This window comes from Homo sapiens, chromosome 17, assembly GCF_000001405.40.
Source record: "Homo sapiens chromosome 17, GRCh38.p14 Primary Assembly".
NCBI classification, from domain to species: Eukaryota; Metazoa; Chordata; class Mammalia; order Primates; family Hominidae; genus Homo; species Homo sapiens.
In genome coordinates, this window is record NC_000017.11 from 78,654,777 (window position 1) to 78,682,644 (window position 27,868).

General features: G+C 50.9%; 1 protein-coding gene across 21 annotated transcripts in view, besides 7 other annotated features; it reads right to left on the minus strand.

Moving 5' to 3' along the window:
• Positions 11,506-12,117: an enhancer, noted in NCBI's record as "H3K27ac-H3K4me1 hESC enhancer chr17:76662364-76662975 (GRCh37/hg19 assembly coordinates)". NCBI's record gives its function as "activates a minimal SCP1, AML or CMV promoter by ChIP-STARR-seq in primed H9 embryonic stem cells {active_cell/tissue: H9 hESC(primed)}" and the evidence as "EXISTENCE:reporter gene assay evidence [ECO:0000049][PMID:30033119]".
• Positions 12,118-12,728: an enhancer, noted in NCBI's record as "H3K27ac-H3K4me1 hESC enhancer chr17:76662976-76663586 (GRCh37/hg19 assembly coordinates)". NCBI's record gives its function as "activates a minimal SCP1, AML or CMV promoter by ChIP-STARR-seq in primed H9 embryonic stem cells {active_cell/tissue: H9 hESC(primed)}" and the evidence as "EXISTENCE:reporter gene assay evidence [ECO:0000049][PMID:30033119]".
• Positions 12,729-13,339: an enhancer, noted in NCBI's record as "H3K27ac-H3K4me1 hESC enhancer chr17:76663587-76664197 (GRCh37/hg19 assembly coordinates)". NCBI's record gives its function as "activates a minimal SCP1, AML or CMV promoter by ChIP-STARR-seq in primed H9 embryonic stem cells {active_cell/tissue: H9 hESC(primed)}" and the evidence as "EXISTENCE:reporter gene assay evidence [ECO:0000049][PMID:30033119]".
• Positions 13,340-13,949: an enhancer, noted in NCBI's record as "H3K27ac hESC enhancer chr17:76664198-76664807 (GRCh37/hg19 assembly coordinates)". NCBI's record gives its function as "activates a minimal SCP1, AML or CMV promoter by ChIP-STARR-seq in primed H9 embryonic stem cells {active_cell/tissue: H9 hESC(primed)}" and the evidence as "EXISTENCE:reporter gene assay evidence [ECO:0000049][PMID:30033119]".
• CYTH1 (cytohesin 1) overlaps positions 19,272-27,868 on the minus strand; it is a 108,226-nt gene continuing 99,629 nt past the window's right edge. For 16 of the 21 annotated variants that reach the window (NM_017456.4, NM_004762.6, NM_001365038.2 and 13 more), the window contains 3 exons: positions 26,195-26,266; positions 25,414-25,568; positions 19,272-21,393 (listed from right to left, as the gene is read on the minus strand). In NM_017456.4, the coding sequence (NP_059430.2) occupies positions 21,315-21,393; positions 25,414-25,568; positions 26,195-26,266 (306 nt within the window). In that variant the 3' untranslated portion in view covers positions 19,272-21,314. Of the gene's footprint in view, positions 25,569-26,194; positions 26,267-27,868 lie in introns of all 21 variants that reach the window. The other 5 variants (XM_011525475.4, XM_047437078.1, NM_001394677.1 and 2 more) reach the window with 3 other exon arrangements.
• Positions 20,283-21,161: an enhancer, noted in NCBI's record as "H3K27ac-H3K4me1 hESC enhancer chr17:76671141-76672019 (GRCh37/hg19 assembly coordinates)". NCBI's record gives its function as "activates a minimal SCP1, AML or CMV promoter by ChIP-STARR-seq in naive H9 embryonic stem cells {active_cell/tissue: H9 hESC(naive)}" and the evidence as "EXISTENCE:reporter gene assay evidence [ECO:0000049][PMID:30033119]".
• Positions 21,425-21,926: an enhancer, noted in NCBI's record as "H3K4me1 hESC enhancer chr17:76672283-76672784 (GRCh37/hg19 assembly coordinates)". NCBI's record gives its function as "activates a minimal SCP1, AML or CMV promoter by ChIP-STARR-seq in naive H9 embryonic stem cells {active_cell/tissue: H9 hESC(naive)}" and the evidence as "EXISTENCE:reporter gene assay evidence [ECO:0000049][PMID:30033119]".
• Positions 21,927-22,426: an enhancer, noted in NCBI's record as "H3K4me1 hESC enhancer chr17:76672785-76673284 (GRCh37/hg19 assembly coordinates)". NCBI's record gives its function as "activates a minimal SCP1, AML or CMV promoter by ChIP-STARR-seq in naive H9 embryonic stem cells {active_cell/tissue: H9 hESC(naive)}" and the evidence as "EXISTENCE:reporter gene assay evidence [ECO:0000049][PMID:30033119]".

Here is a 27,868-nt window from a genome sequence, read left to right on the forward strand (position 1 = left end):
TTCAACAGCTCTTTAGAGGTTTATCTGTGTTTAAGACTCTTTATCAGATTGTCATTTGAACCGCAGGGAAAGTGACTTCTTTCTGCATTTCCACAATCAATCCATTTATTCAGAGAAAGTTCTTCACCAGCAGATATGATTGTATCAATGGGGTTTCCCCTAAACTCCCACTTAAATTAGATTTTTTTTTTTTTAAGATGGAGTCTCACTCTGTCACCCAGGCTGGAGTGCAGTGGCCCGATCTCAGCTCACTCCAACCTCCGCCTCCCAGGTTCAAGCAATTCTCCTGCCTCAGCCTCCCAAGTAGCTGGGATTACAGGCGCATGCCAGCACACCCAGCTAATTTTTGTATTTTTAGTAGAGACAGGGTTTCACCATGTTGGCCAGGCTCGTCTCAAACTCCTGACCTCAGGTGATCCACCTGCCTCAGCCTCCCAAAGTGCTGGGATTACAGGCGTGAGCCACCACGCCCAGGAAATCCGTGTAGGAAGAGATAAGATCAATTTCATATTGCCATGTTGGATGCTGTTCCAAAACCCCCCCCTTTCCAAATACATGTGAAGAGTGTGACTTTGTCACACAACCTGCAGTCCGTAGACTGGCGTGAGGGGCCTGTTGATCACTAACCTTGTGGGCAAAATGTTGTGTGCACGTGCATCCATGTGATCTGATGAAATCCACACAGCATGGGATGCTCCAGCCACACCAGCCTCTGCCAGGTGAATGTTCCTGTAAATTTACATCAGGGGCCTGATGTGTCAATATCAACCCCATGGAAGTCTCTGTGTTGTGAACCGTTCAAGGGTCTCAGAAGGTAGTGTCGCCTCTAAGCTGCATCCTCTGGGCAGGCTTGACCTTGGCAGAAATCTCAACCACCTCAGAAAAGCCTGCCTTCTCCTTGGCTAAGTACCTTCCATGCAGGAGAGGCAAATGGTGGGCGGGGTTGAGGGGTGGTCAGCAACAGCCCTTGAACACTCATGTCATCGGTGCTGGAGCTCCCCCATCATGAGCCACCTCTAAGGGTCATGTGCTGTATTTCCCTGGAAGTTTCCAACCCAGCCCTTCCCGGCCCTTCCCTACCACTCCCCACTCTGCCATCCACTCATGGCCCCATGTTATTCCCCCACTCCCCATGCTTCCCTTTTAGGTGCACCTGCTCTCCTTAAACACCTAACACCAGGAGGGCTCTAAAAGCAGGCAGGCTGGCTGGGTGCAGTGGCTCACACCTGTAATCGTAGCACTTTGGGAGGGTGAGGTGGGAGGATCACTTGAGGCCAGGAGTTCGAGACCAGCCTGGCCAACATAGTGAAATGCCGTCTTTACTAAAAATACAAAAACATTAGCCAGGCTTGGTGGCAGACACCTGTAGACCCAGCTACTCAGGAGGTTGAGGCATGAGAATCGCTTGAGCCTGGAAGGCAGAGGTTACAGTGAGCCAAGATCATGCCAATTGACTCCAGCCTGGGCAGCAGAGTGAGATTCTGTCTCAGAAAAAAATAAAATAATAAAATTAAAAAATAGGCTGGGCGCAGTGGCTCATGCCTGTAATCTCAGCACTTTGGGAGGCTGAGACGGGCGGATCACGAGGTCAGGAGATCGAGACCATCCTGGCTAACACAGTGAAACCCCGTCTCTACTAAAAATACAAATACAAATACGAATTACAAAAAAATTAGCCGGGCGTGGTGGCAGGCACCTGTTGTCCCAGCTACTTGGGAGGCTGAGGCAGGAGAATGGCGTGAACCCAGGAGGTGGAGCTTGCAGTGAGCCGAGATTGCGCCACTGCACTCCAGCCTGGGTGACAGAGTGAGACTCCATCTCAAAAAAAAAAAAAAAAAAAAAATAGAAGCAGGAGGGCTGACTGCGCAGCCTGACCTGGTTTCGGCCTGACCCTCGTGTCCCCCTGTCCCCATCATCTGTCCCGTGTTCCATTCTCCCAAATGTGAAAAACTGCAGCCACCAAGTCCCTATGTCCTCCAAGTGTGACGTCTTGTGGACTGAGACGTTGCCCCCAGACTCCTAGCCCAGCATACCCTGTTCCAGCGAGTGCCACGCACAGGCCATTCCCCAGCACCTGGTGCTATTGCCACTTCCTGTCACCACTAACCAGACAGATTTTACACACATATTTGAGCCTCTTGCATTCTGGTGCAGATTTTCCTTCTGACTGGCATTTGCCAATAGGATGATTATTTTAATATTTTAAAATTAGAGATGGCGGGGGGGGGTCTCACTATGTTGCCCAGGCTGGTCTTGAATTCCTGGCCTGAAGCAATCCTCCTGCCTCTGCCTCCTAAAGTGCTGGGAATAACAGGCATTAGCCACCGTGCCTGGCCAAGATGATTTTATAGTCCGTAATTCAGAAAAGACTATTCTGTCCTAGATTATTATTATTTTTTGAGACGGAGTTTCACTCTTGTTGCCCAGGATGGAGTGCAATGGTGTGATCTCGGCTCACTGCAACCTCTGCCTCCAGGGTTCAAGCGATTCTCCTTGCCTCGGCCTCCCGAGTAGCTGGGATTACAGGTGCCTGCCACCATGCCCAGCTAATTTTTTGTATTTTTAGTAGAGAAGGGGTTTCACCATGTTGGCCAGGCTGGTCTCGAACTCCTAATTTCAGGTGATCCACCCCCCTTGGCCTCCCAAAGTGCTGGGATTACAAGCGTGAGTCACCATGCTCAGCCGATTCTTAAATTTAGATTATTAGTTAGAAAAAAGTGCGCTGAAAACAGGAGTCAAGTCTTGGGGGGATGGGGGAGTTTGTGGGTGGGTGTGTGTGCATGTACCGGGGCAGAGGGGAGCTTGTAGAAGAAGAAGGAGAGAGACCACGTTCTCCATAATGGGCCTGACTCTGACGCATGTTAGCTGGAGTCCTTGCTTTCTAAATGTATCTGGATCTCCCCCTTCCTGGTCCGAATGTTTTCTGTGTTGCATTTTTTGAGCCCTCACTGTGATAACACGAATGCTGTGATCTGATCTCAAGTGGAGAAAAGGGGTCCTCCTTTCCATCACCAACGTGTGAGCTCAGGTAGGGGAAGCCAAAGCTCTGCCCCAGGCACCCTGAGAATCAGGAAGGCACCAGGTGGATGTGTGCAGGAGGGACTCGGAAGGCCACAAGGGGAGACAGACTTGAAGTTTCCTAACTTGAGGGCCAACACTCACCAGTTCCTTCACCAAGGACGTCTCCAACCAGAAGGACCAAAACCATGGAGGTGACAGACAGGTGAATATCAAAATTTAAAATTGAGCCCAGGGTCAGTCCTGGCCCTGGCATCCGGTATCTTCCCACATTGGCCACTTTTCTCCAGCTCCCAGGGGGCTGCTTTCACAGGAAGCAGAGTTCCAGTGAGGACACCTTTGCACAGGTCTGACCCTGAGAGCCTCTTACTGTCCAGCCACTTGAGTGAGGCCTTATTCAAACGGTAAAGGGTGAAGCTGCTGCCCTCCAGGGTGTGATGGGCAAGGTCTGTGTAGAGATAGTGAGGGCCAAAGCCGGCAACATAGTCACCCAGGGGTGAGGGCCGAGGCTAGCCCTGCCCAAAGGCTGGAGCCCAGGAGACCAGCCAGGGAGAGAACATGGTCCTGCAGGAGGGTGGGAGGTCACCCCACTTGTTCAGCACAGCTCATGGAGGGCAGGCGAGGAGGCTCGGCCCCCGCCACACTGCCCCTCCGGAGCACTTTACTTCTCCGTATTCAAGACTCTGCGTCATGCCATTGGAATAACACAAAAAACATGCTTTTGTATTTGCTCACCAACAGTAGTCTGTTCATTCGAGTAACGTCCTTCTGGCAGGCACCTGTTGTTGATTTTGGAAAGTTTAGGAAAACATGAGATTCAGGAGCCTCATATGCAGTCACCGGATCCGGGTGCCCTGGAATGGCCCCAGCCCCCAAGTGCAGCTGCTCACGGGCCACAGGCTGCCACGTTCCTCCTGACGGGGATCGTGGAGATGGCGCAGCAGGAGAGGAAGACTAACAGGCTGCCACGTTCCTCCTGACGGGGATCATGGAGACGGCGCAGCAGGAGAGGAAGACTCAAGAGGATTCAAGCCTGACAGTACTTTTGGCTTCTGGGTCTAGGAGACTCAACATTCTTCCCAGTCAACATTAGATGAATGAATGAGTGATGAAGGGGGTGGCCAGGAGTGGTCAGGAGCAACTCTACACAAAATAGAAGGCCAGGCGCAGTGGCTCACGCCTCTAATCCTAGCACTTTGGGAAGCTGAGGCGGGTGGATCACCTGAGGTCGGGAGTTCAAGACCAGCCTGGCCAACATGGAGAAACCCCGTCTCTACTAAAAATACAAAATTAGCCAGGCATGGTGGCGCATGCCTGTAATCCCAGCTACTCGGGAGGCTGAGGCAGGAGAATCGCTTGAACCTGAGAGGCGGAGGTTGCAGTGAGCCAAGTTCACACCACTGCACTCCAGCCTGGGCAACAAAAGTGAAACTCTGTCTGGAAAAAAAGAAAAAAAGAAAGAAAGAAAAAAAACAAACCTGAAACAAAGCACTTCAGATCCCCCCCCACCCCACCCTATCCCTCGCCCCAAAATCAACCATGCAATAGAAGAAAGCTGTAATTCAGCCCTTCAGACTAATTAGATATCTTAACACAGGCACTTGGAGATATATAAAAAGAAACAACTAGAATCAGAAATTCAAATCCTAAGAACAGGAATGGCAAAAGTGAAATGTGGGAGAAGGCTTTAAAATGGGTGATCGGGGAAAGGTATATGAGGCGTCTCTGTACCATTCTTGCAACCTTTATGCCAGTTTGAAAATACCATGAAATAACAGATTTTAGAAATGCTGAGGATTTTCTTGTGAACGGCATGGGGGGCTGAGAGGAACATCGCCCTGGCTGCCGGCGAGACAGCATCCCAGCCCAGGAGCTGTTGACAGAGGGCAGCTTGGGTGGGACCACGACAGATACCTGCAGGAGGCCTGACCGGCGGCGGGGATGGGGACTGAGCCTTGGCGGTTGTATTAGTCGGTTTTCACACTGCTAGTAAAGACATACCCAAGACTGGGTAATTTATAAAGAAAAAGATGTTTAATGGACTCACAGTTCCGCATGGCTAGGGCCGGGAGGAGGGAGGCTCACAATCATGGCAGAAGGCAAAAGGCACATCTTACCTGGCAGCAGGCAAGAAAGAATGAGAATCAAGCTAACAGGGTTTCCCCTTATAAAACCATCAGATCTCGTGAGACTTATTCACTACCACGAGAACAGTATGGGGGAAACTGCCCCCACGATTCAATTATCTCCCACTGGGTCCTCCCACAACATGAGGGAATTATGGGAGCTATAATTCAAGATGAGATTTGGGTGGGGACACAGCTAAACCATATCAGTGGTGATGTTACTGAGGGCGGCCAGACAGGCCAATGACCAGAGCACAGGACACAGCTACAGGGTTTGGCCATTCTGAGGAGGAGCAGCACAAACAAGAGAAACAGCCCAGACCCTGTCCACTGCACACTTTGGCCAGTGAGCGCGCCTCGATTTCCAGACTATGAAAACATCTGTCGGCTGGGCACGGTGGCTCACGCCTGTAATTCCAGCACTTTGGGAAGCCGAGGCAGGCGGATCACAAGGTGAGGAGATCGAGACCATCCTGGCTAACACAATGAAACCCTGTCTCTACTAAAAATACAAACCAAAAAAAAAATTTAGCCAGGTGTGGTGGTGTGCACTTGTAGTCCCAACTACTCGGGAGGCTGAGGCAGGAGAATTGCTTGAACCCAGGAGGTGAAGGTTGCAGTGAGCCGAGATCGTGCCACTGCACTCCAGCCTGGGCAACAGAGCGAGACTTCATCTAAAAAAAAAAAAAAAAGAAAGAAAAAGAAAACATCTGTCTCTGAGAAGCATCATAGTTTACTTAATCTAAAGAAATAGCATATGAGCACCCAGTACGTAGCAGTGAGCCAGTGAATCATAAGCACGATTTCTTTTTTATTTTTTTGAGACCAAGTCTCGCTCTGTCACCCAGGCTGGAGTGCAGTGGTGTGATCTCGGCTCACTGCAACCTCCACCTCCCGGATTCACACCATTCTCCTGCCTCAGCCTCCTGAGTAGCTGGGACTACAGGTGCCCACCACCACGCCCGGCTAATTTTTTGTATTTTTTAGTAGAGACGGGGTTTCACTGTGTTAGCCAGGACGGTCTCCATCTCCTGACCTTGTGATCCGCCCACCTCGGCCTCCCAAAGTGCTGGGATTACAGGCGTGAGCCACCGCGCCCGGCCCATAAGCACGATTTCTTATATGAAATACCAGAGAAATGAGGGGTGCCAAGCACAGAGTGGTGGCCACATGGCCATTCGCCCGATGGATACTTAAGGATCACAGTGGTGATGAAAATGAGAGCGTGAAGGGTGAGTTCAGGATCTGTGTGTAACAGAAGAAACACCACACTGCCTTCAGTGTGGTGAGATTGTGAACAAAGGTGGTGCAGGGATGCCAGGACCCGCCAGCCGTGTAAGGAGAGGTGCTGCAGCTGCCTAAACCCCAGTCGGGAGGGGAGTTTAGTGAGCCGTCTGGTGGAGAGAAGTGGGTCCAGAGTTAGAAGACAGCAGTGACGCTGCCCAAAGCAGGCTCCTTCTTTCTCTCTTTCCTCTTCCAGCTTCAGATCACCTCCACCCTTTAAGAGTTAGAACCGCTTTAAGAGTTAGAACAACCATCCTGACAGCCTGTGAACACACCTGAACCACATTCTCTTCGGTGCAGGAAACAGGTTCTGATAAATGATTCACATGATTCTGCCTGGCATGAAGCAGCCTGCGGTTTATTCCCATGCATCGTTTATTCAGCAGACACACCCCGAGGGCCCACAACATGCCGAGCATTGTTTAGGAGCTGGGAACACAGAGACGAACTGAAGAGACAAAATCCCGTTTCCCACAGAGCTGACCATCTAGTTAGTGTCACGGTTGAAGGGACCATATCACCCTGTCCTTCATGAATGCAGATGCAAAATATCCTTAACAAAATATTAACAAATCGAATCCAAAAATACACTTAAAAAATCATGACCAAGTGGGCTCTATCTCAGGAATGCAAAGTTGATTTACCACGAAAAAAAAAAGCCACTTGATTCGCCATGCTAATGCACTAAACAGAAAAATCATGAATATTTGCATCTGTGCAGAAAAGCCATGTGACAACACTCAGTCCTGATTAAAACTCTCAGAAAACTAGGACAATAGCAGGTGGAGCATCTCCAACCTGATAAAGTACATCCCTGAAAAACCTACAGCTGGGGCCGGGCGCGGTGGCTCACGCCTGTAATCCCAGCACTTTGGGAGGCCAAGGTGGGCAGATCACGAGGTCAGGAGATCGAGACCATCCCGACTAACATGGTGAAACCCTGTCTGTACTAAAAATACAAAAATTAGCCGGGCGTGGTGGCTGGCACCTGTAGTACCAGCTACGCGGGAGGCTGAGGCAGGGGAATGGCATGAACCCTGGAGGCGGAGTTTGCAGTGACCCGAGATCACGCCACTGCACTCCAGCCTGGGCGACAGAGCGAGACTCTGTCTCTAAAAAAACAAAAAAACCTACAGGTGGCATCAAACTTAAAGATGAAGAACTGAATGCTTTCCCCTAAGATCAAGAGCAAGACAAAGAACTCATCCTCACCATCTCTATTCAGTATTGCACTAGAAGTCCTAGTCAGTAGAATAAGGAAAGAAAAATAAATAAAGGCATACATAAGAAAGTAAAAGGAAAGGAAGAAATAAAACTGGCTTTACTTGCAGACAATATGATCGTCTATGTAGAAAATCGCAAGAAATATGCAAAAAAGCGATTAGAACTAATAAATGAATTTAACAAGGTTGCAAGATATAAAATCAATTAAAAATCAATCAAAAAATCAATCATATATGTATATACTAGTAACAAACAAATAGCTATTAAACTTTTAAAGTAATGGTATTTATAGGCTGGGCGCAGTGGCTTATGCCTGTAATCCCAGCACTTTGGGAGGCCGAGGCAGGCGGATCACTTGAGGTCAGGAGTTTGAGACAAGCCTGGCCAACATGGTGAAACCCCGTCTCTACTAAAAATACAAAAATTAGCCAGGCATGGTGGCAGGTATCTGTAATCCCATCTGAGGCAGGAGAATCGCTTGAACCCGGGAGGTGGAGGTTGCAATGAGCCGAGATTGCACCACTGCACTCTAGCCTGGGTGGCAGAGCAAGATTCTGTCTCGAAAAAAAAAAAAAAAAAAAAAAAAGTAAAAGTATTTATAATTTATAATAGCATCGAAATGGATGAGAAACTTAGGGACAAATTTAACAAAATATGTGCAAGACCTATAAGGTAAAAACTGTAAAACATTACTGAGGGAAATTAAAGAAGACCTAAATAAACGAAGAAATAAGCCCTGTTTATGTATGCATCAGAAGCTGCAATATTGTTAGATGTCAGTTCTCCCATGATTGATCTAGAGATTTAATGTATTCCCAATCAAAATTCCATCAAGCATTTTATGGAAATTGATAAGTTGACTTTAAATTTATATGAAAATGAAAAAGACTTAAAATGGGCAAAATGATTTTGAAAAATTGGAGGACTTTTTACTATCTCTGACTGCCAAACTTGCTATAAAGCTACAACAATCAAGGCAATATGGTATTGGCATAAGTATAGACAGAGATGGATGAAACAGAGCAGAGGGTCCATACAGCCAGTATGGAGAAAGGCATGGAGGTTCCTCAAAAAACTAAAAATACAGCTACCATATGATCCAGCAATCCCACTGCTGAGTCTGTACCCCAAAGAAAGGAAATCAGTAGATCAAAGAGATACCTGCCCTTACATGTTGGTTGCAGCTCTGTCCACAATAGCCAAAATTTGGAAGCAATCTAAGTGTCCATCAACAGATGAATGGATAAAGAAAATTTGCAGATTTTCTGGGTCTTTCTTCTAGATATGGTGAGAACTTTGCTCCTTCTAGCTTTCTGTATCCTAAGTGGAAGCCAGAACACATATTCTATTTATTTTTTAAAATTAGAAGGAGGCTGGGTGCGGTGGCCCACGCCTGTAATCCCAGCACTTTGGGAGGCCAAGGCAGGCGGATCACCTGAAGTCAGGAGTTCGAGACCAGCCTGGTCAACATGGCGAAACCCCGTCTCTACTAAAAATACAAAAATTAGCCAGGCGTGGTGGCAGATGCCTGTAATCCCAGCTACTCGGGAGGCTGAGGCAGGAGAATCGCTTGAACCCGGGAGGCAGAGGTTGCAGTGCACTGGTATTTCAGGAAGGTGCCCCCTCAAGTCTCCATGGTATCCCTTGGGCCCTGAACAGGGGGCTAATTTGTCTGCACCTTGAGTGAGGCCAATGGGCTCGGGCTGTGATGTGTGATGTCTGCTGTCACCGACGGTGCCCAGCACAATGTGAGAACTTAGTGGTCTCCACCCCTTTTCCTGTGACCGAAAGGGTGCACCAGATGCTATGGAGCAGACACACACAAGTTACCCTTGAACAAGGCAGCGTGCAGAGTTCAGAAACCAGTAGCACAAGCATGGGGCGGGGGCGCTGCTCTAAGACATCATCAGCATGAATGGGCGAATACCTGACAGGTGTGAGTGGATTCGGTTCGGTGTGAGTTAATAGCATTGCGTCACACAAGCACCTGAACAAAGCTGATGACATCGGGGGGCTCTCGGGTGAAGGAAGCTGGGGTCCCGGTTTTAGGGGAATTCCTCCTCCAGGAGCCCTCCTGGCGTCTCTCTTTGCCACCCAGCCCCAGCTTAGGATGGAGGGCCCTAGGCTGGGTTCCTAAGGCCCCGGGTGATTCCCTGAGGCGGCCATCATCCACATACATGCACGCTTGTCTGCCTGTGGACGGTGTAAAGCCCCTCGAACCCTCCCACGGGCCGTCCTTATCTCTGTACCCACGGGGCTGGTGTGCACTAGAGCAGTGTTCCACCAATAAATGAGAAGGCGCTTTGAAGAATGAGCAGGCGCTCACCTGGCTGGGAGAGGGGTGGGCGAGACCCATGGCTGGGAATGAGCAGGGCTAAGGCAGCAGCATTCCAGGTCCCCTCAGTCCCATGGCTGGAGCAGGGCTGTCGGGGGAGGCTGCAGGAGATGGAATGGGGAGGCCAAAAGGGACTCCAGCCTGGGAGGTGCAGTCTCCCCCTCTAAGGAGTTTGGGGCTACCCCATTGTCAGGAAGGTGTTTTGAGGGGTTTCCAGGAGGTGGCTGGTGGGACACAATCACATTATCTGAGCCCTGAAAAGACCAGGCAACACCATGGGAAACTGGCTGGAGGGAAACCAGTGTGGAGCCTACTGTGGTCCCGGGGCGGGAGACCAGATCCTCTCTGGGTGTTCGTGGCTGTCCGTGGTGTCCAAGGCACCAGGGACAAGGCTACGCAAGGGGCACCTCTAGCTCATGGCGGATAGTTCCGACGCTGCAGCCGTCAGACGTGTTAAATCACACAGGGCATGAACCGGGAAACATGAAATCCACCCTCAGCTTCAATTGCTCCAATAATTATTTGTTAGCTCAGAAGTTCAAGACATTTGGAACAGGTCCAACAATGATGTCAACTTAGTTCCCATCTCTGAATCTGTGGTGGAGAAACCTGGACACTGGAAACAGGGTGGGTTTGGGGATCCGGCTGACCTGGGGCCCAATTCTGACTTCCCTGTTTCTGCGAGCCCCTGGATACGTACGTTTCTAAATGTCTCTGAACCTCGGTTTTCCTGTCTTTATCATTCGTGCATTCATTCATGACATTGTCATTTATTCAACAAATACGTACTGAGCACCTACTATCTATCAGGCACCGTTCCAAGTACAGGGAATATAGGTGTGAAAAAAAGCTCCTGCCCTCACTGATTTTACATCCTGGGACAGGGAGACAGAGGAATAAGTCATGAGGTGCCACTGGGCAGGGAAGGGGCTGGGGAGAGCTGCGGGCGGCTGTGATCGTGGTAGCAATGAGCCCTAGCAGCACTGCTTTCATCTCGGGGCTGCTATGAGGACTGAGTTAGAGAATGGGTGTTAGAAGAGGGCTGGCACCTGCCGGGGCCCAGCATCTCATCCTGCACCAGCCTGGTGGGAAGGCTTGATTCCCTTCAAGTATCAACAGCCATGGAAGCTAAATCTCGACCAGACCTCGCAAGGAGATTTAAAAGGAGAAAAGAAAAAAGGCATCATTCTGAATAATTATTCCTCAAAGCCGTCCCTGTGGCGTGCTGATAACCTATCGGGTCACATGTGGCAGTTTACTTTAAAGGCAAAGGGGTTTCCAAATGAACCTGCCCGGGCGGGGAAGCTCTTGTGGTTCCTGGCGGCATCCTGTCCCTCAGTAGAGAATCTTATCACGACTTCCTCAGGCTGTTGACATTCTGATTAGTGTGCAGTCCACAGACATCAAAAAGGACAAGGATGGATTCTGAAACCAGGAAGTTTTACTGACTGTCTTGCTCACAGACATTTTAGCCTGTATGTTGTCATCTGCAGTCAGTGACTGTAACCTCTGTATTGTACCGTCCAGTGAAAAGGACAGCTCCAATGTGAGGAGTCCCCCTCTACACTCTCCTCTAAAAGGCTTCCAGCTTGGAGCAGGCCCCAGGACACGCCCACCTTTGTTGGCATGTCTGCCGGGGTTCATCCTCACTTCCGGTTTCCAGTAAACCAGATCACAGTATTTCTGCCTCAGCTACTCTCTGCCTATGGGGTAACCCTGCTCTGCCAGAGCAGTCAAAAAAGAAAAAACATTGGGAAAAAAAAAAGGAAGAATATTATTTCTGCCTCAACAGTCTTGATTTCGGTCAGCAGGAGGCTGCGGTGGGATAGCTGGGAGCACATTTGGGGTGGTGTCAAGTGTCACCATGGAGGGGAGGTTGAGCTTGATCCTCTAGATGTGACACTGGCCGCTGGTCTGGGAGTGAGGGTGGAGAGACAGGCTGGTGCCTTGATTAGCGCCAGCAGCTCGCTGCTGCACTCAGGCCGGAGCTGCCAGAGACAGCCCTCAAGGACTCATTGTTGGTTGAGCAACGCAGAGAGTATGTGTGGCCCCAGGGCAGCCGGGCCCCAGGGCCAGGTTACTTAGGGGTGTATGTCTGCTGCCTGAACCCTGAAGGCCAGGTGGTTAGCCCAGGCCATGTTGCCCAGCTGTATTCATTCCTTTTCACTCTGCTGGTAAAAACATACCTGAGGCTGGGCATTTACAAAAGAAAGAGGTTTAATTGGACTCACAGTTCCACGTGGCTGGAGAGGCCTCACCTTCATGGCAGAAGGCAAGGAGGAGCAAGTCACACCTTACGTGGATGGCGGCAGGCAAAGAGAGAGCTTGCGCAGGGAAACTCCCATTTTTTAAAACCATCAGATCTGGTGAGACCCATTCATTATCATGAGAATAGCACGGGGAAGACCCGTCCCCACACTTCAGTCATTTCCCACCGGGTCCCTTCCACAACACGTGGGAATTATGGGAGCTACAAGATGCGTTTGGGTGTGGACACAGAGCACAGCCAAGAGCAGGTGTCCCTGAGAACCCAAACATCCTGGGGAGGCCCCGAGCACTGGGGCTCCCTGCCCCACCCAGGGCAGGACGTGAGCAGGACCTTTTGACATGGAGGCAGAGAAACACTTCCCAAGAACCTCAGAGGGTGGGCTTGGGAGGGGTGGCCAAAGCTCCTCCCCCCAGGCCACCGCTTCATGCGTGGAGTTTGTATCCTGCAGCTTTGCCAAATCCACTTATTACCTCCCCGTTTTTTTGTGTGTGTGTAGAATCTTTAGGGTTTTACATATATATATGTGTGTGTGGGGGGTGTGTGTGTGGGGGTGTGTGTGTGTATATATGTGTGTGTGTGTGTGTGTGTGTGTGTGTGTGTGTATATGTAAAATCATGGCATGGCAAACAGAGATCATTTTACTTTTTCCTTTCCAACTTGGAGACCTTCTTTTTCTTGCCTAATTGCCCTGGCTAGAACATCCAGGACCATGTTGAGGAGAAGTGGCAAAAGCAGGCATCCTTGTCTTGATCCTGATCTTAGAGGAAAAGCTTCCAATCTCTCTCCGTTGAGTATGAGGTTGGCTGTGGTGTTTTCATAGATGGCCTTGTACTGTGACAGGTCCTCCACCAGGTTACTTAAGGGCATATGTCTGCTGCCTGAACCCTGAAGGCCACATGGTGAGTCCACGCCACGGTGCCCAGCCAAGGAGTAGGTGTCCCTGAGAACCCACACAGCCCAGAGAGGATCTGAGAACCCGCCAAGGAAAAGTCCCATGGCACACACACACAGTAGGCAAAGAGCCAGAAAATCAGCGTAAAAGCAGCCTAGAGATGGGGGCGGCGTGGATCTCTCGAGCTGTCCTGCTGCTGTCCGGCAGTGCCCTGTGTGCGGGTCCCCATCAACTCTGCTACTCACCAGGCTGGACTTGCCCCAGTCCTTCTTTGGGGCCTGGGAAGGAGGGGACGATACTGTCTCAAGTGTGTCCCGCAGTAGGCCTTGCTTGTGTTGAAAGGGTTCCTTCTGCGCCTGCCCCGTTGGGTGTATTTCCTGGTGGAGTTTCATTTCGTCCAATGCTTTTCCTGCATCGATGGAGATGATCACCCCGTTTTCTCCTTCATTCTGTTAACGGTGTAGATCACACTGGTAGATGTTTGTGGGTTTGTGGCAGGCCAGGCTCACTAACGCAGGCCTCCATAACAACTGTTTCAGCACTGACCACGTGGTGAAGTTAAATATTAAAAGCCGGCCGGGCACGGTGGCTCACGCCTGTAATCCTAGCACTTAGAAGGCCGAGGCGGGCGGTTCACGAGGTCAAGAGATCGAGACCACCCTGGCCAACATGCTGAAACCCCGTCTGTACTAAAAATACAAAAATTAGCTGGGCATGGTGCCACGTACCTGTATTCCCAGCTACTTGGGAGGCTGAGGCAGGAGAATCACTTGAACCCGGGAGGTGGAGGTTGCAGTGAGCCAAGATCATGCCACTGCGCTCCAGCCTGGCGACAGAGTGAGACTCCATCTCAAAAAAAATTAAAACAAAAATAAAAGCTGAGAGAGCTGGCCCCCTTATACAAAGGCTGGGATGTAACAAAAGCCTGCCAAGAGTTTTGCCCAGGCCTTTCCTGGGCCTTAAAGCATGAAAAATAACAAAGGAATTCTTAACATGACCCGTTTAGGACTAAACAAGTTTTACTGAGGCCATGAACCACAAGCCCTTCCCCAGGTGGACCATTGGGAAGCCACATGTGACCAGTAGGTGGTCACTCATCTTTCTGCAGAGCTCCCAATGTGACCAGCCAGCTCCCCACCTGCCGGCCATTATAAGAGTCATCCTCTTCTTGACACCTCCAGAAGAGAACCTGGATTTCCAGCCCAAGTCTGTCCTTGTCGGCTGCCCAGGCCCAACACTTAGGACTCATCCTGATTTCTCCTTCTCCCTCCATTTCTACCTCCAAGTTCTGCTGCCCCTCCCTCGAAGGCACATCATGAATTTTTAATTGTCCCCTACACCTCTCTCACGGTTGTCCCAGTACAATCCCCATCACCCCCAACTGAGTCATGTCACAGCCTCGTGCTGGCACTGTCCTCCCCCAACAATTCTCCCTCCAGCAGCCAGAGTCCCTCTCCAGCCCCCAAGCTCCACGCCACCTCAGACGTCCCCTACCATGGCCCTGGTCCCGCTCCATCTGGCCCCTGCTGACCTCTCCTCTGCATCCCCTGCCACCCCAGGCCTTAGCCAGCCCATCCCAGCAATTCCTTCAGGATCCCTCCACCCCACCACTAGCTACCCTACTCTAAGCGGCGCCCCGGGCCCTTGCCTGGTGGCCTCCTCTTCAGCTCAGCAACCTCTTCTCAGTGGGGCCTTCCCTCATCAGCCCGTTCAAGTTACCTCCTCCGCTTGCTCTTTCCAATAGCCGCCCACCTGTTTGCTCCTGGGGTTAGCCCCCCACACCCCGGGATCACTTCACTCAATTTTCTCATGTCTGCTCTACCCAGACTCTGAGCGCCAGACACGGGTTCTCACTGCTCCCAGTCTCCACCTTTGGCGGCCACAGCCTTTCTGCCGACCTAGCATCCATTCTCCACCCTCTGCTTGCCGGCGTCCGGCCCACGGTACCCCAACTGTGTCTGCAGGATGTGTGCCCAGCCCCAGTGAGGCATCAAATGGGCCTAAGCGGAGGATTGGCTGAGAGGTGGAGACGAGACCCAGGGTGATGCTGAAACGTAAGGACACGTCTGCAGGGAATCCGGGGAAAGACACTTCCTCCTTGATGAAGGGAGGCAAGCATGGGGGGCCCTGGCTGCCCCTCGCTCCCTGCTCCTCCTTCTGAGTGCCACTGTGTGAGGATATGGTATCCCCTCCTTCTAACTGTGCCACGACCGGGTCAATATGAGTGTTCCAGGAGAGCGGAGGAGGAGGAAAGCTCCGGGTTACATCCCAGGGCAGCCGAACAACCTGGAGCGCACATTTGGGACTTCCTGTTCTTATTTGTGTCCTCATGAGTCATGTCCCCACTAGGTGAGCTCTCTGTGACGTGCAGCCTCACGCGCACTGACAGGCATGAAGCCCAGCGCTGGGCGCATGGGACCTGCTCCATCAGGTTAGAAGCAGGGAACAAACGCCTCACGGCTCCTGCTCCCAACACAACCATGGAGACAGGCACGTCCGCATAAGCCATCCCAGAACCGAGTGGACTCACTGCTCAGGAGCACGAGGAGGCCCTTCAGCCTGGGGAAAAAGCTGGGCCAATCTGGACGGCGCAAGGCTTCGAAGAATGAGAAGGTTTTGCACAAACAGGCTGGCAGAGGAGATGGCAAAAGGAAGTCTCATGAGCAAAGCTATTAGCTATTAAACGGTGGCTGTGGAGCAAGAGCTTGGGACACAGGGCAGGGAGGGCGCAGTTAAGGATAGAAACAGCTAGAGATAAGGCGAACAGAGCCTGGTGGAGAAGGCCTTGAGCATCATGCAGATTCACGTTCTCTTCTGCAAGCAAAGGGACAGGTTCTGTTTGCTTGTTTTACTAAATGGAGGAATGACATGATCAGTAGATGAAAATTCCACAGCCGCATCAATCACGGAGTAGAAGATGGCAAAGCCTAGAGGTCCGCAGACCAGTGGGGAAGCCACCCCCGCGGGCCAGGCCTGTGATGAAGGTCTTGGGGCGGCGACAGTGGCTGGAGGAGCCACTCCAGAGGTCCACAGGGAGGGCTTGGGAATGCCTGGGTGTAGGGAGAGAGGGGGAGACACATGAGAAAGGGCTCCAAGCCTACACAGGCTCTCTGAGGGTGGCAGCAGAGTCCCCAGGACAAGGGGCAGTCTTGGGGCTATCAGCTGTGGACAGGCTGAGCTGGGGAGGCCCGGCAGCCACTCTGGTGGAGACGTCCCACAAGCAGTCAGAGGTGGAAAGGGGAGCCTGGAACGGGCCGGAATTGCACAGGCACACATAGGGGCCCACAGCGGGTAGCAGCAGGGTCAGTCGCGGGACTGATTATCTGTCAAGGAAGAGGGCTTAGGAACACTGGGGGCTAGAATCCTGGGGGATGTCCAGCAGCTGGCGGGTGGGCAGAGAGGAGAGGCCAGGGAAAGAACGCACAGGGAGCTGTCAGAGAGGTAGGAGAGCCCAGGTAGACTAATCCACCAGAGCCAAGAGGAGAGAGGAGGGGGACCCCTGGCTGAGGAGTGAACGAAAGTGAGGACATAGATGCAACGAGGAACTGTCGGAGTCCCTGTTAGCAATGCAAAATGTTTGTTCCCTGGTGTCACAAGGAAAAATTAGCATTCAGACAAAAAGTTCTCTCAGCGAGGCAATTTTTACTTTCTGCAGAAAGGGTGTCCCTTGCAGATGGAACAATGGGGAGGGCACACACAGAATAAAGAGACGCCAGAATATCCATTCTATATGCATGAGGCCTCTATTGCTGTGTCCTGTCTCCATTGGCTGGAGCCGGACCTCACAATCTAAATTAAAACCCGATTGGCTAATAATTTATTCTCAAATAAGGAAGGAGCATAGGCTGTGAGCTGGAACATGCCTATGAGCACGTGAGCACAGATATCTTGGTTAAGGTACAAGGACATGGAATGTACTACGTGCCTTGAGCATGTCTAACAGCTACCTAGGATAGGGCTTAACAAAGAGTTATTAGCACAAAGCAAGGAGGCTTGAAGGAAGTTAGTCTTTAAAAGAAACTATTATTTCTAACACTTATGATTTATTCTTTAATAAGAAGGGAAACTTTGAAGAGGAAACTTTTTACTTTCTACAGTCCTGCAACCACACAAACAACTGCAGAGAAAGGCAGCAGCAGCAGGCCTCCTAACAGCCAAGAGGCGGAAGCAACCCAAACGCCCATAGATGAATGAATAACAACGTGGTCTCCATACGATGAATGTTATCTGGGCATAAAGGGGAATGAGGCTCTGACACACGCTACAGGGATGAGTCGTGTAAACGTAACGCTAAGTGAAAGAAGCCAAACGCGAAGGCCCATGTAGTGTATGATTCCATTTGTATGAAATGCCCAGAAGAGGCAAGTGCATAGACAGAACCATTAGGACTGCCCGGGACCAGGGGAAGAGGAGGAGAGGCTGCTGATGAGTAGACAGGGTGTGCTTTGGGGTGATGAACTGTTCTCAAATGGATTTTATTGGCGTTTTAATAACTTCGTGGATGTATTACTATTGCAGGATTTTTCCTTAGTTCAGCTAAACACCTCTTAAAGGTCCTACCTTTTCATACTGTAACAATGGCAGTTACATTTCAACATGAGTTTTGGAGGGAACAGATATTCACACTGTAGCTTTCTGCCACTGGTTCCCCCACACTCGCCAGTCTCAGTACAAAACGCATTCATTCCATCCCGACTGCCCCAAAAGTCCTAACTTGCTCCAGCACCAATTCAAAAGTCCAAAGTCCAGAGTCTCCTCTAGATCAGATATGAGTGAGACTCAAGGAACAATTCATCCTGAGGCAAATCCCCTCCAGCTGAGAGCCTCGAAATTTAACAAGTTATGCACTTCCAAAATACACTGGGGGACAGGCATGAGATAGACATTCCCATTCCAAAAGGGAAAAAAGGGCAAGAAGGAAAGAATAACCAATCCCAAGTAAGTCTGAAACCCAATAGGGCAGACATTAAATCTTAAGACTCCAGAATGATCTCTGACTCATCTTAATGTGATCCCCCAAGGCCAGGAGCAGCCCCACCCTGTGCTGGGTTCTGCCCATGCCGCAGCTGTCACAGGATGGCATCTAGTGCCTACATACAGCTCTCCCGGCTGGGGCGGCAAGCTGGTGGTCCCACAGTTCTGGAGCCTTGGGAGTGGCCCCGTTCCCATGGCTCAGCTAGGCATTATGAAGTCATGTTACCAGCCAATAAATGTAATCTCTCTTCTTTCCTATCTGGATGCCTTTCATTTCTTGCCTAATTGCCCTGACTAGAACCTCCAGTACAATGCTGAATAGAAGTGGTAAGAGTGGACATCTCTGTCTTGTTCCTGAGCTTAGGGAGTTTTCAAATGAGATGGGCGTTTCTGTGGTTTGAGGGAAAGAAATTAATGGGGAAAGAAACTGGGGATATGTATAAGACAAAGGATAATTGACAGAGATGGATCCAGGGGAGACAGGAAAAAAGCAGGCCACTTCTTCTGGCGATGGGAGGGAACAAAAACAACTCTGACTGATGTGGAAAGGTAGGAATGCTGCCCTTCACACCTAATGGTCGTCTCTTCTCAGTAAAGTGGGGCAGTCACCTGGGGAATGGTCAGGGTAGACTGGGGGCTTGAAGCAAGGAGGAAACATCAGGCATGACTGCTGCTGTGTGGAAGAACGCGGACCAGCCCGTGGAGATGGACCCACAGAAGGGGCCAGCCTGGTGCTTTGCTGTCTCTCTGTTCGGTGCTGGTTCACCAAGCGCCTTCCCCTGCTTCTGGGTTCTAGCCCACCTGAGACTTTTCCCTGTTTATTCCCTGGCATTATGAAGTCATCTCTGGAAACTGAAATCATACTAAAAATGTATTATATTGACTGAAGGCATATTTCTTGATCTTAATTTAAAACTGATGTTTCACGTTTCTTCTAAAAAAGTGGGGGCGGTGCAAAGACTAAGTTACTTATCTTTTCTGACTCTGCTCTTCTTAACAGAAGACAGAACCCTCCTCCCACTTTCAAGGTGTTACAACTGAACTCAAGGTGCAGCTGGAGTAACACCCTCCTGCACAAGTGTCCGGTCAGCACCCCTTTCCCACCTCGAGGGCCCCGCCTGAGCCCAGAGACACCGCGAACAACAAAGATGGCTTGGGCAGAGTTGGAGTTTATTTGCTGCAGTTCCTTGGCGCTAGTTTACAAGGCAAAAACAAACAAACAAAAACAATTAGAATAATTATTTCTTAAAAACCCTGTCAACAACTTTCAGTCATTTCTTTATATTTTTGTATTTTGACAAAACTTCTTTTAAACAAATACAAAATAATCTAAAAGGAGAAAAACTATACATAGATTATTTACACCTCTGATAAATAGACTAATACTGACCCAGGTGCCTCTCTGTCTAGGAAACACTTGAGAACCAGGCCAGGGCCCGGGCCAGCTGGACAGGCTCCAGCACCGGCCCAAACACGCCCAGACCTCGGCAGGCACCACCTGGTTCTCCCACCCAGAAAGTTCAGGTTTCCAGCCTGGACCCTCTTCTGTCACCCTCACAAGCTCTGGCACAAAAGTGCCTAAAGCCATTCCCTCCAGGTAGGATCTACACAAAGTGGCGGGGAGGGAGGTGACAGACTGTCCCCCTCTATTCCTCCCACCACTCCTCTGCAAAAGCTATTTCCAGAGATGCTCGCCAACCCTAAAGGATCAGAGGAGCCGTGGCGACGCGGCCCTGTGAAAACCCGCAGCTCCTCCACCTGCCTCCTCAGGGCTGCGCCCTGCACCGCCCTGGTCCAGGGTCCTGTGGAGGGGCGGGGCGAGACGGCCAGACAGCCAGCCACCTGCTCTGCCTGGACTGGCATGCTGGCCCTGGCGGAGTGGCAGGAGCTGCCCTGAGAGTCCCTGAGAGAACGGCAGGAAAATGCTGCGTGTCACGGCTCCCTTCATACTGTAATGAGGAGGGGCAGGGCCAGCTCACACAGCGCCTGCAGGGGAAGACAGAGATGCGAGAGGCAGCCCGGCCACCCCCCTCACTCCAGTGCACCCCACGGAGCAGATAAAGGCCCATCTTCCCCTCTAGGGGGCCCACCACAAAATGCATCCAGAGTAGTCCAGTTAGGGCTGGTTTTGAGGCAGAAAAAGCTGAAGCCCTACGGGGATCGGGGAAGTCCTACTCCTTCCTCTAGAACGAGGACTGGAGTCTGGGGAAGAGGAAGAAAACCCAAAATGAAACAGGTTATCCGGAACCTCTGTCCCGATAACCTTCCTCACAGTTTTGGTTATTAGGTATTTAGCTCAAGGAAAATGCTGACTTTCTACTTTAAAGCCCAACAAGAACTTGGATTCTGAAGGAGGAAAATAACGTAAGCGTCCAGTCAGCTCTCTCCTCTCCTCGGCGCTCCGCAGGCACTTGGGATGGAAAAGCATCCGCGGGAGATGCCGGACTGCACGCTGCTGCCGACTGCGACCCCGGCCAGGGCAGGCCCCCGACTCTGACTGTGCCGTCTGAGGCTCCACTGGGCCTCTGCCCTCTGCGTCCTCGACCTCACCTGTCCATCTCGCCCAGACAAGCACCAGGCAGCGAGCTCCCACAGCACAGGAGAGGCAGGCCAGGCCCTGCCGCGGGCCCAGGCTGATGCCCCTTGGCCGCAGCCCCAGGTGCTCTTCTCCAGGGAGAAGCTCCCCAGCGCAGCCAGGGCAGAATGCACCTGAACAGCCCTACGTTCTCTCTTAAAAAAAAAAAAATAGATCTTTATAGTATGTGGCTTCTCTTCCTTTCCACCTTTTTCTCTTAACATATAATAATATATGGACACATGTATTTATGGTGCAGGGTTTGAAGGCTTCTTCACGGGGACAACCAAGAGGTAAACAGTTGGCTCTGAGCTCTGCTACCAGAACACTGAGCAGAGAAACTGGCCAGGAGGCTGCCCTGCCGACAAGAGCTCTGCCCTGTGAGAGAGGAAGGCTCTGGAGCCCATGCTGGACAGGTGGCCGGTCCTCTCTTCCCCAGTGATAACTGCCCACCCTTCTCCCACTTAAAAAAAATAGCAAAAGCTGAAGCTAGTCTCTAGGAATCCAGGGCGGGGCCTGGCAGAGGACGCTCTGCTCGGCAGCAGTGCATCCATGGAGGTGCGGGAGAAGAGCAGGAGCTCCAAGGCCCCCGCAGACCAACGCCCTTGGCTGCACGCTCAGTGTCGCTTCGTGGAGGAGACCTTCTTTTTCCGTGCTGCGAGCATTTCGTAGAAAGGGTCCCTGCTGATGGCTGCTCTGGAGCACAGAAAAGGGAGAAAACAGAGACGTGAGGGACAGAATCAGAAGAAACACACCCAGGCAGGGGATTCTCAGGGGCCCCTCGTGCCCCAGAACACCTGTCCCACCCCACCATCACTGCAAAGGCCAAGTTAGCGTCCTCCACCCTTGCTGTGTCCACACAGTGACCTAAGGTGACACACTTCGAAAGAGACACAGGAACACGTGACAAGAAAATTTTGGGGTTTTTACCTGTTTCAACATAATAATCAATTCACATTTAGGAACAGAATCATACCACATTCTTACAGCTATATTCCAATTCAGAGAAAAAGACTGGTGCTTGAGTTTCCATGATGACATCTGACTTTGCTTTGCAGCAGCGAGTGCCACGTAATCAAGCCGTGTCACATGCAGTCCTCTGGCACGGGGTGTGTGATAGCTGGCATGGTAATGCAGTGGGGCCTTCCAAGCCCCCCACGTGCACCTGCTCAGTAACTAAGGCTCCATGACTCTGCAGGCGGCACTGCCCAGCACGATGCTGCTGGTGGGGCACCATGGACAGACCGGCTGGACCTGGCTGGGTCTCCGGTGCACAGGGAGGGGGCCCGAGCTCATGCTTGTGCTACAGCCTCAAAGACAGCAGCGCAGGCCGCGCCGCGGGCTGGAGCACCTGCAGTGGACTGGCAACACCACAACCCTATGTCTGCCATTCTCGACTTTCAAGCAACTTATGGTCTAAAAGTCCTGACACTTAATTTCTTTCCAGGGAAGCTGTATCCTAAGTGATGATTTGTTCCAGAGCTCGGGCACAAGCCTCCTGACTGCAGGCAGGGCACTCACCCCTGCTGAACGGTGGCACCAGCAGCTGCTATGGCTCTCCTGGGCTGACCTGGAACCTATTCACAAGAGACAGTGTGTCCATGAGAAAATGCTTCCGCAGCTCCCCGGGGAATGCTAGGAACTGAAGAGCACTAGAAACATGTCCCGATGGGATCTCACTGGGAAGCGGTCTGACCACCTGAAGTGCTTTCACGAGGGAATCTGGCGGCCGGGACACCTGCTTTCATGTTTGGAGGTGTTGGGGTGAATCTCCCTTGGCTTCCTGGGTAGGCCAACCCTTTCGGGTAAGCTGGGGGGTTCTGCAGAGAGGTGCGTGTGGCACTGCCCTGTGTGCAGAGGCAGAGTGTCAGGCGATGAGGGGGGCTGGGCTGCGGTCGGACACCAGGCCCCAGGCCCGGCCCTGCCTGGCCCTGCCTGCTGCTTCTCAACTCCCGCTTCCTCACATGCAAGCTGGAGATGCCCCACCTCCACCTCCCTGGGTTCCGGAGAGTCAAAAAGAGATCCCATATTCAAAGAGCACATCTCAGCGCCTAGCCGACACACTCGATGGCAGCCGCTGTTACCGCTGACACGCAGTTCTACTGCTGTACCTCTGGGTACAGCGTGAAGAAAGTCCCAGCATTAGAGAACACACCTGATTCTACAGAACCGAATGCTGGGACCACCCACACGCAGGGGCACTAGAACTGAGGGTGCTGGGAACTCCAGGAAAAGCACTTCGTGAGAGGAAAACACGTCCTGAACTTGACCTCGAAAGCCTTTCTGGCAATACTGGGGAGGAGGCATCCACCAGCCAGATCATCTTCCTGCTCCTGTTGTCACCAATGTTTCCACTGGGAGGAGTATCTAGGGCCAAGGACAGCTGAGGCTGCACGGTGGTTACCAGTGCAGCTGCATGAGTCACACTGCTCAGGTTTGAGGACCAGCTCCACCTCTGTGGGGTTTTGGACAACTTACTCAACTTTGCTGTGCCTCAGTGTCCCTCATCTGTGAAATGGGGATAATCCTAATGGTCCCACCTCGCACTGGGTGCAAGAAGGTTTGAGGACAGTGTGCCTGCAGAGTGCCAAAGGGGGTGTCTGCAGATCCCGAGGCTGAGGCCAGCCCGCTCCGGGACAGAGCAGAGGAGTCCAGCAAGCCCACAGGAGAACTTGGCACTCACGCTCATGAAAGGATTGAATGATTCTAAATGTGACTTTGAAAAATGCTTAGTTTTTCTGACTATAGAAGTAAAAACCATATGAAAGACACATGTACAAAACCAGCCAAAACTGTTTTGAAAGACCAGTGAGGGAGGACAGGGAACTCGCCAGCCAGCACAGTCAAAGGACACCACGATGCCACAGGGGGAGGGGCGGGCGGCGCTCACGCTGGGAGGCGCGGTGGAGCAACAGGTGCATGAAGCGTGGTGGGGGAGCTGGGTACACTCTAAGGAGAGCATATGAAGTCAGTGGGGGCGATGCCAATGAATCCATAAATGGTGTCCGGACCATCAGCTATTCATTCATGAGAACAAACTTAAACCCTTACTTCAAATCTTATATAAAAAATACATTTCATAATGATTCAATAAATTTTTTTTTCAGTATGTTAAAAAAAAGGATACCGGTCCCCCACAACACTGCTGTTTTCTTCCCCAGAACACAGGGCTGGTGCCATTACTGGTAGGGGACTCTGAAAACACCGTGGCACCGCGTCTGCTCAATGGAGGGTGGGCTGGCCCCCGCTCAGGGCCACACTTCCCATGATGGCTGTCATGCCAGGGAAGCTGCCAAACCCCATGCCCACTACACAATCTCATTTAATCCTCAAAAGAGCCCCATGAGGCAGAAATGACCTCTATCACACAGAAGAGGTAGGTTACCCACCTACCAGGCACTGCGCTCAGAGAGACAGAGCGAGGAGTCTCAGCGCAGCGTGACCTGGCGCCAAATCCATCCTCTCTCCAGCTGGTTCCTGTCTGTTTTCATTGCATGAATTTTCAGATTACTTTTGAGAGGATAAATCATCTATTCCTTTCCCTCCATCATCACATCATCTCCATCTTCAGTCAGTTTTAAGGTATTTAGCTTGGGCCAAAACCTACACTGGTCTGAGTAGAAATACCAAAAGATAAAACAAAGGCTAGAGGATATTGCACACCCTCGGGAACGGGGCTGTAGCCTGGGTGGGAGAAAGCCCGTCACACAGTACACAGAGGACTTACAGGGACCTTCGCAGTCACCTGTGGGCACATTCTCCCTGTCTTCCAGGTGAAGTCACACAGGCAGCTGAGGAGTCTTTCTCAGGAAAACAGCTAGGTGAACTCTCATGGATGAAGCACCAGGAGGGAGAGGGCAAGGCTGTGCTCTTAGGAGAAAGGATCACTGAGAGAAGGCAAAGTCAGAATGCTCACTGCTGACCCTCGCACAGGGACTGGAGGGAGGAGAAAGCATCACTGAGAGAAGGCAAAGTCAGAATGCTCACTGCTGACCCTCGCACAGGGACTGGAGGGAGAGCCAGGCAGACCAAGTCCCAGGGAAGAACATTAAGCAAGAGAAGCCAACTGACTTTAGAAAGCCATGTTTCCAGATACTTGTCACATGAGGAAATTTCCAGCCCCGTGATAGACCTTACATGGCGTGGCCCAGTGGAGCCAACAGAGCCGAGAGGTAGGAGTCAGAGGCCTGGACTTGGGAGCTCCACTTCTTAGCTGTGGAACCCTGAGGAAGCTTCTCCCTCCTCCCGGACCTTGGATCACGGTATGTGACTTCCAGCAAATTTCTTAACCTCTATGGGCCTCAGTTTCCTCATCTGTAGCTAGGAAAATGGTGTCTCACAGGATTCACAAATTACAGAACATGACTACTATCTCCTCTGAGCTGTCACTATGAGAATGAGAGCGGCTTCGTCAGACACAGAAAGACCAGTTGAGCAGATGGCATCTGTGTGGGTAGCTCACTCGCCTCTTCCTATTTTGGGTCTATGAGGACACGTGGGGAACCCAGATGGGACGTGCTCTCTTACATATGCTATAATAGCCAAGAATCCAAAGGCCTCCTGGGAAGCCGTCAGCTGGGAACCAGGACGAAGCTTCCCTAAGAACTTGGAGCACAGAAGAGATGCGGGCGGCATGTTTAACCACTAAGATGATCAACACCTGGTGAGGTGAGGGCTGCACCAGGCGCGCACTGCCCTTTCTCAGCAGTCACTTACTTAATGCACTTAATCCACTCCTCCTTCTCCTCGGGCGTCGGAGCTGAGATCCGGTAAACAGTGTGGTTCCCCTCCACCACCCGCCCGTCAGCCTCGGTCTTGCAGGCCTTGATAACTTGGTCTTTATTGTCGGGGATATAAAGCTCAAAGCAGTTCTGAGAATCAAAACAGAGAGGGAGAGAGTGGAGCAAAGGAAGCTGTTAACTGAGAAACATGCTGATTTCTTTCCCCAAAACCCCTTTCTTCTGACCTTCACAAAATACAAGGAATACATATTTTCCTGTGGAAAAGTGAAGCCTAGAAGCGGAATTCTAGAGACTGTAAATTGTATAGAAGTCAGTCTCGTTTGCAAACACACCGGCCTGATATAAGCTGGCCCCACTTGCAATGTACGTAAAATGCGGAGAGAACTGCAGGTGACTCACGACTTTAACTTCAAGCCAGTAACATCCTGACAGCCCAAAACAAAGGAAAACTAAACGGGAGGTGTCCCAAGGGTATAAACTACATAGCCCACTCCTGCGTGCTTGCCGCTGCCATTGCAGGAGGGGCAACTTCTACACCCCATGTGACATTCACTAAGTGAAACGATAAAGCAGACAGACGGCACAGGAAGAAGTGATTTCGAGTCTCATCTTTGGCTTGAACAATATAATAAAAAATTAGACTAAATAAAAGCCTGATCACGCTTTTCAGTTTTTTGGTTTTGAGTTTTTTAAAAAAAATCTTTGAAATGCCCATCCCCTTTCTCCCCTCAAAATATCTCAGCAAAAATACTCACTGGTTTTTTGGAGTCCTCCACTTCCCGGATACTCAGATTCTCTAAAGGGATGATTCCACGGGGCTCCTTATCCTACAGAACAGTTGAAGAGAGGAAGTTTAAGATCACAGTTTAAGGACACACACTGTCAGATTCCTCGCCGGTGACTCAGCCGAACTTTCCTGCTTTCTCCCAGGACATGAAGTTCATAAATCAGCCTGAGGGAACTCCTTACATTCTAAACAAGAATAACACCAAAAATGTCTGAGGATTGTCAATATAACTGCTAAGTCCTCCGCGAGTAGAAAGACCAGAAGATTCAACAGACACCGTGAGAGTGTGGCCGGCAGTGACCCGGGCACGGTCCTCAAGCAGGGAGTGTGCGGGCCCCTTTCCCTCTTCCCTTTGCCTGGCTCTCCCACTCACCTCTGAAGCCTCAGTTCTGGGGCAACAACTCCAGGAAGCCTTTCCTAGTTTCACCCTAGCGCCCCGATGCCTGGGACTGCAGCTGTGGGTCTGACCATTAACCACTCACTGCCTCTGTCCATCGCCCCACCGCCAGACAGTACAATCCTCAGAGACACTGCCATCCTGACAACTCCACCTGGATTTCCAAAGGCACCTTGACTCCTGTCCAGAACAGAGCTGCACCCGCCAACTAGTCCCATCTCATCTACAGAGGGCACGGCACCGCAGACACTTCCAGCACACGCCTGACGGCAGTTTCACAGTCCCCTGATATCCAGCCAACCCATGGCCAAGTCCTAGCACTGTTAAAGTCTTTATATTTGGCCAGGAGAATGGTGTGAACCCAGGAGACGGAGCCTGCAGTGGGCCCAGATAGCGCCACTGCACTCCAGCCTGGGTGACAGAGCAAGACTCTGTCTCAAAAAAAAAAAAAAAAAACCAACCAGTTCTATGAGTTCTCTAAAAGCGAAAAAGAGTCTTTCAGCCATTTCCCCATCCTGGCTAGCAACTATTTCCAACTTCTTCAAGCCAACCTGCTTGGTCTTTACCTCTGTATCTCACACATCTCCAAAATACCATATTAGAACTGCCTTTTGACTGCTTGATTTTAGATGTTATCTACAGAAGAGGACTGAGCTCCTCTTACCCGGGCATATTCATATTCCCCGTCCTCCTAAAATAACTATCTGGTCATCTGAGGTAGGGCTATACACAGTGTCTTCATTAACACCACGTTTCTCTTCCGACCTGTGCCATATAGTGAACTTCCTAATTTTTTCCTTCCTGAAAAGCTTCCTTCCCCACTGGAACCAAAATTATGGAGGGTGGAGAAGTGGGTTGTTCCTTTGATTTATATTTCTGTGACCTTACCACCAAAACCAATTGCAAATGGTTAACCTCTTATCAAAATCTCCTTGCTAATGCTAATTTGTATCAGGCATCCTATTAATTTTCATTTCTTGAAGTAATCCTTCCTGGAGCCTCTGAAACCTGTTCCAGTCTGGACTGGTTGCCTTGATACTCGGTAAACTGCTTCATCCTTAACCTCAGCACTCTCCATTCCAGAGCACTCTTCCCTCCTCTCTTGAAACAAGAGGTTTCAAGATCTCTGGTTTCCTACAGCCAAGGCCTTTGTCCTCCACCAGCATCCTGAGAAAGGGTGTGTGGGTGGTAACATTTCTGAAATCTCACTTGGCTAAGAATGTTTCTATTGGACCCTCACACCTG